Source organism: Homo sapiens, chromosome 1, assembly GCF_000001405.40.
Source record: "Homo sapiens chromosome 1, GRCh38.p14 Primary Assembly".
Taxonomy (NCBI): domain Eukaryota; kingdom Metazoa; phylum Chordata; class Mammalia; order Primates; family Hominidae; genus Homo; species Homo sapiens.
The window spans coordinates 22,284,387-22,291,710 of record NC_000001.11 but is presented as its reverse complement, the minus strand read 5'-3'; the positions used below and the strand labels follow the sequence as shown (position 1 = coordinate 22,291,710).

The 7,324-nt window shown below is 52.7% G+C and overlaps 1 annotated feature.

Moving 5' to 3' along the window:
• Positions 4,566 to 5,065: an enhancer, noted in NCBI's record as "H3K27ac hESC enhancer chr1:22613139-22613638 (GRCh37/hg19 assembly coordinates)". NCBI's record gives its function as "activates a minimal SCP1, AML or CMV promoter by ChIP-STARR-seq in naive H9 embryonic stem cells {active_cell/tissue: H9 hESC(naive)}" and the evidence as "EXISTENCE:reporter gene assay evidence [ECO:0000049][PMID:30033119]".

Below are 7,324 nucleotides of genomic sequence, written 5' to 3'. Positions count from 1 at the left end.
ATATGCTGTTCCCAAGACACCAGACAATTCCAGGCCTCTGGGCTTACTCTGCCTGAGCTGCCCTTCTCCTGACACTCTCCTATACATCCATCAAGACTCAGTCCAAACATCATCTCCTCTGAGAAGCCTTCCCTGGCTCCCTCCTATGGAGTTGCTTCCCCTTCCTGTACCACATTAAACCCAGGCCTCACAGAAGCTCACATTTGGCTGGGAGCAGTGGCTTGTGCCTGTAATCCAGCACTTCAGGATGCTGAGGTGGAAGGATCGTTTGAGCTCAGGAGTTCAAGATCAGCCTGGGCAACATAGTGAGATCCCGTCTCTATATAAAAATTAAATAATTTAAAAAAAAAACAGAAGCTTACATTTCCTGAGCACTCACTCAGTGCTTCACATGCATGAGCTCACTCAGTCCTCCCTGCTGTTTCAGTTTCTCACCATCCTTATTTCCCAGATGGAGAGACAGGAACAGAGAGGTCGAGCACCTTGTTCTAAGACACACAGCCAATAAATGGCAAAGCCAGGACAGGAACCATTTGTGTCTGACTCCAGAATCGGTGCTCTTTAAGTTTCATTGTTTATGTGTTTAAATAAAGGAAGCCATGCAAATGGTAACAAACAACAAACGCAGGAGCGGCAGGGACAGAAGAGAGGTGAGGGGAGTCGGGGGATGGGGAGGGGAGGGGAGGGGAGGGGAGGTCTCTACTCCCACCCCACACCAGCGACATCAGCCAGAAAACTTTTTTGATGTGTTGAGAAGCTGGGCCCAACAAAGCCCTCAGTTGCCCAAATGCCTGTGTAAAAGGTCCATCTTGCAGGGCAGAACAGAATCTCGCTGCCCAGGGAGCTCAGCACCAGAGCTGGGGCAGCTGCCACCTGCTTCTCCACGTTGGCCACAAGGCCAGACGCCCTGAAATGGCCTGGAGTGAGAACATCAGCAAGGAGTGACTTCTCACAGAAATGTCGAGTGGCTTTTTCGAGCTGGGAATTATCCCACAGAGGAGCGTTGTGCTGGAGGAAGACACCAGCGCCAGGTGGGTCTAGGGGGTCATGCCCAAGAGGGCACCGGGGGGCAGATTCCCAGACATTTCTTAAACAACAAAAAAGACCCTTCTTTTTTCTTATGGAATATTCCGCTGAAACCCACTAGGAAAAGCAAGAGTAACAGTAGTTCTCGTGTGTTGAAGACTCATCACAGGCCAGCACTTTTGAAGCCTTAGGTAGCATACGTTCCTAGAATCGTCACTGCACCATTCTGAGGTCTCTCCATTCTCGTGTTACCGATGAGGAAACTGAGGTACAGAGTGATAAGTGACTTATCCAAGGTCATATAGCTCATGCGTGGTGGAGATGGGATCCAAACCCAGGCAGCGTGGTCCCAGAGGGCATGCCTCTTGAATACTGTGCTAGGTAAAGCCACTCTGGTTAAAATAGGTGTGGGGGTAGGGAAGGGAGTGAGCCCTTGTACTCAACTGCCCCAACGCACTCTCAAATCCTGACAGCCCATGAGGGATCTCTGCAGACACCACAGCTCAGAGGGAGGTAGTTTGGAAGTCATTGTTGTTGGACAGTTTTATGGCATCTCAAACCCACAAAACTCTTCATACCCCGGTTCTTCTCAGACAAATCCTGTGACTTGGTTGGTCCCACCAAGGTCAGCCTTGAGGTCTACAGGGCTCAGGCATAGAGATGACTGTGGGTACCAGGAGGGAGGATGATGGCAGGAAGAGCCCAGGCATGGGAGACAGAGAAGCGTAAGGTTCAAGCCCACCATGGCCTGGAATTAGCCAGGCCTCCCTCATCGTCAGCAGCCAAGTCAGCCCTGGCTGACATAAGCAGAGGGGAATGTACTAGAAGGAGCACAGGGGCTCTCTGAACCAACAGGAGGCTGGAGGAGTAAGCTCAGGAGAGGCAGGTCTCAGGGAGGCTCTGGAAGGACTGGAATGAGGGGAGCAGGGAGCTGCCTGTTGTGGGCACTTCCGGGACCTGAGCCCCCTGCCTGGTGCCTGGCTCCAAGTGGAGCTCCGGGGATAGCTGCTGAATGAATAAATCCACGGGCATCTGATGACAGGAAAAGGCTGATTAAGACATTGCTACAACCACCATAACAACAACAACAAATCCCCAGCCGTTGTTCCTTTTGACCTTGGATCAACGCTCAAGATTCAAAGACTTAGCAGAGCACAGGCAGCTGGTCAAGTGGGAGTGTGCGCTGGATGGGGGTGACGGAGGGGGGCTGTGGCTCCCTCTATTCTCACAGAGGGAGAGGAGCACCTAGAACTACCCCTACCACCACCATCCCCACCGAGATGGCACACAGAAGGCATGGCCATTTGCCCCAAGGAATCCAGAAGTTGGACTCTGGCAACCAATCCAAGAAATGTCTGCTATAACCGCCTACTTCTGTTGGTAGTGATAATCACACTGACATTGGCACGACTATTCATTGGCATGAGGCTATCCCAAGACTGTGCTGAGCGCTTCCCTGTATTGTCTTACCAAGTCTTCATAACAGCCTTACAGTTACTACTCCTATTTTATCAGTGAGGAAATTGAGGCTCAGAGAGACAAAGTCACTTGGCTAAGGTCACAGAGCCAGTGGGTGGTATTCACAGAACCCAGACTGTTGGCCTCTGAACAGGGTCTTCCTGACCATGATCACATGGCTTTCTCCTCTGCTGTGGTGCAGTGTGACCTTTGGCAAGTGAGTCAGACTCTCTGGCCTTCTGTGCTCTGCTCACCAAGCCATGATTGCCCAGAGGGGCATATTTTTCTAATATATACAAAGGTGCCCTAAGGGCCTGCAGTGGTCCCGACTCTGAACCTGAGTTTCTGTCTCTATAATGACCCACTCATTTTCTCCTACAGAGATACGGTGAGAACACAGTAATATAATCTATGCTAAAGCACATAGTAGGCTGACAGTTCAGGGAACCAAACGGGGCATCCACCTGTGTCTCCAGCCCTGACATCATGCACATATCAGGTCCAGAGAACTTAGCTTGCACTCAGGGCCTCCCCTATCAGTGCCTGGGATTTTTCACTCAGCTGTACAGGCTTAGGCAAGTCACTTTCCATCATGGGCCTCAGTTTCCTTATCTGTCACAGGAGGGGGTGGGGGAGGTAATCTCCAAGGGCATGGAAGCACTGACATTGGATTTTAGGCAGTAAAATACCGGTGCTCACCTCCGGAAGGCATTTCATGCAGGCCTCACGGTGTCCTTAGAATGGGCCAAATGAATGCTGTAAATTTCCCCTCCTCCGAGGACCTCTCTCCTTCCACACGCTCCTTCTTGACGGCTCACACTTTCTCTGCTTTCAGAGAGATGTTTTTCAAGCAGCCCACGTGGGGGCCCAAGCAACAGCCACGTGCAGAAGCCCAGCCCCGGCGGTAATCCCGGGCGGAAAGCAAGCGGGAAGAAACATGCAGGATGAAGGTGCCAGGGAAGAGGTCTTGTCCCTGATTTCCCAGTGGCCAGTGTGGGGTGGAGGCCAAGGACCGGGCCTGCGGGAAGTCCAGTGGGTCCTCTGAGAGGGCATCACTGGGACTATTCATAGCCCAGGATCCTCACTGGAATCTGGCAGGCAGGGACAGGCACCAGCAGGAATGTTGCCTGTTTGTGGCACAAACGCAAGCTAAGTTGTTTACGCTGTTCTTCCTTCCACTGCCTCACTTAGCCTGAGACCAAATGCCAACCATCCTGGAGCCTGAATAGATGTCCAAGACCCAGAATATGGTCTGTGTGCTGCATATAATAAAATGAGAACTGGATTTGGAGTGAAGGATATAACCATGGGATTTGGCAAGACACTGAATAGGGTTGCTGTGTGTGGTTGTTAAGGTCATGCACTGAACAAATACACCTGGGTGATGAAGTGAATGGGGCTAAAATCTACCCTGTGCTCTGCTCACTAAGCCATTATTGCCCAGAGGGGCATAGTTTTCGAATATGCACAAAGGTGCCATATGACCCACCCATTTTCTCCTGCAGAGAGATGGTAAGGACATAGTAATATAACCTATGTTAAAGAACCTAATGGTTATTTGCAATGAATTACCATTATTTATACAAAGTCTTGTTCCACAAAGGTTTAAAGGCAGCTTATGAAATTATATATGGTTAAATAGAAAATATGATTAGATACAATATTATACATTGATTGAATGAGGGAAGGCAAAAATGAGGCATATGCACCAGTACTTCCCTTCGTGTGCCCATGGCAGACATCACTAATGGATAAATCCATCATGCACCTTGTTCACGTTCTGAAAGTCAGTTTTCACCCTGGCACAAAGGAAATGAGGAAATCGGTAAAGGGCTGTATCTTCATGCTGCACAGTAGGTCAATAAATGAAAATTATATTCTGGGGCCTGTGGCAAGGGGAAGGGGAGGTGACCTGGATCAGGAAGTCCCACACTGTCATGTGTCATAGTTTTAGCCTTGAGCTTCATCATGGGCAAAACAAAGATGTAAACACTCAGGCAAGCATGCACACACACAGACACAATCAGTGTCCAAAATATAAAATTATACCAATTTCTCAGACTTCATGCAAATTGCCTACACTGAATTCTCGGCGAATTTTTCCTGGGGTTCCTCATAATGGGGTCATGTGATGAATCAGAAAACACCCTCAACAGCAGCCCTAGAAGAAGCACATTGGCAGATTTTCATTGGTGACTCCTTATAGTGAAAACCCTGGGTAGAAAACTTAATCAGAGCCCAGTGAGAGCTCTGTAAACCCTTTCCCCCATGACACCCAGCTTGTGGGAAGGGAGCTGGAAGAAATAGAAGCCCAAAGCTCTACTAAGTCTCTGGTATTGGGGAGTAGGCCTTCAAATGGACCCCAAGCCCTTTTCTATGAATGAGGAAACCAAGACCCTGGGAGGTTAGGGAGGGGCTCCAGGTCCCCAGCTCCAAGCCCAGGAGTATTTCCCCTCTACTTCACCACGCCCCCTGGAGGGTGCTCACCCCTGAGCAGCACTTCCTGGTCCAGCTCAACCCACCAGCAGGGTTGACCCACCAGCCTCCAAACCCCACGGCCAGACCCCCAGGCAACACCAACTGAGGGCCCCCTCACTGGAGAGCAAGGCTGTGGGCTACATTGTCCCCAAGGAACCCCTCTGGGGGAGCACAATCTACAGGTGGTCCTGGGGCCCCCCAGGGGAGGTGGCATTTGAGTAGACCTTCAAGGACAGGCCCCTCCTGCCCCACAGCTTGGCAGAACAGACAGATCAGGCGGACCACAGTTCAAATCCCAGCCCTGCTGCTCCCGGGCTGTGTCCTTGGGAAAGTTATCTCACCACCTCTAAGCCTTAGCTTCCTCGTCTGTAAAGTCAGAACCGCTCCTAGGGCAGGCAAGAGGGCTGCGTGAGACCAAAAACTTCACTAACTGAGCAGTTTATTACTCACACTATTATCACGACCGACGATAACTCACTCACGGCGTAGACAGAGCACTGGCCAGGAGTTGGACAGATCTGAGTGTGGATCCTGGCTCTGATACAACTGGCTGAGTACCTTTCTAAGCCTCAGTTCCCCCATCTGTTAAATGGGAGGCAGGACTATTCCAAAGGTCAGTGGCCTGTGAGGGTGCAGTTCCAGTTTTGGCCCCTCAGATGCTGGAAGCACAAGGGAACCGGGACTTGGGCTAGAGGGAGGCAGGGCCCGAGAGGCCCTGAGGCCTGGAGCTCACCAGCAGCTCCCCTCTGGGGCCTGGGCCGGGGGAATGTGTAGGAGGGAGGTCCAGGGAGGGGGGCCCTGGAGCCAAGAGGAACAGCCCTGGCGGCGGGCAGCGGTGCGGTGACCCAGGAGGGAGGGAGAGCTTGGCTCCGAGCTCATCACTCAGCGAGCTGTCTCCCCCCGGGCCGGGAACCCCGGCGGCCTGTCCTCCCCACTTCCTGCGCGCTGGGTCAATATTGTGATTTCCACTGTGCAGCCCGCCTGGGACGGCCTGGCCCTGCGCGCCGCCCAGGGTCACGGGGCTGCGGGGAGACAGGGGTATGGAGAGGTCACCCGCTGCCTGGAAGATGACTCAGGACCTGTAGGCTGCAAGGCGGCGCGGCCAGGAGCCAGGAGCCCCAGTGCAGCCCCACCTCCAAATGCACAGAAATGGCGCCGGAACAAGGCCTGTGAACTCTCCCATCCAAACCGAGGGATCAACCAAGGCCCGGAGAGGGCGGGGACTTGCCCAAGGTCACACCGTGAGTCTGTAGCTGAAGGAGGCCCTGAATCCCATCTCCTGACCTCAGATCCTCACCAAACCTCCATATTCTACCTTCCCTGCCCAAGTACCTACCTTCCTCTTCATCAGCATCCGGAACGGACATCTTCCTACACCTCCGCGGGAGCACAAGGAGAGAGGACAGGCTGACCCTGACCAAGGAGGGCTGGTGTGGAGGCTTCTCCAGGAGTGAGGGGTGGTCAGGAGGACACAGTTCAGGACACCCACACACTGGGAGTTATGAGGATGGAGGATGCGAGGCACCAGCCCTGACGATCCGGAACCTGTGGCTTCATTTTTCCCAGTGAGTGCCTCTTGTCAAGGCTGAGTGCAGACTTAGCCTCCTCCCTGGAGCACCCACCGCACCCCTGCTCTCCTCCAGACCGCCTCCTCCATGCGGTGCTCTTCTTACACCACACACCTGCCTCCCCTAGTGAATCAGGAGCTCCTGGGGGAAGGGGCCCAGGCGATCTCACTTCCAGATCCCAGGCCCAGCCCAGGGTGAGGCCATCCTGGGCCCTGTTAGCACTGCTGAGTGAGGGAAGGGAGGAGTCCTGTCTTCCCACATCACTGTCAACGCCACAGGGGCAGAAACTCCTGCCCTCCCAGTGTCACCTCTCCTGGAGACTCTTTTTATTCTTCACTTGGTTACCTCCTGCTCTTCCTTTAGGTCTCTGCTTAACTGTCACCTCCTCCTGGAAACCCTTCCAGACCACTCTGCCAAAACTACATTAGCTGGCCCTGCTCTGAGTCCATTATACTTCCCTAAAAGTGCTCTTACCCCAGGGGAATATAATGGCTTCTTAAATGTTCTTCCCCTCTAGGCTGAACTAGGGCTGAAGTCCCTATCTCTGAGTGAGATGAGACTCACTATTGTGTTTCTAGCTCGGGGTCTGGTGCAGAGTCAGTGCTAGATGGATGGATGGATGAATGGATGGATGGATGGATGGATAGATGGGCCTGGTGCAGAATCAGTGCTGGATGGATGGATGGATGGATGGATGCATGCATGCATGCATGGATGAATGGATGGATGGATAGATGGGTGGGTGGATGGATGGATGGATGGATGGATGGATGGATGGATAGATATATGGATGG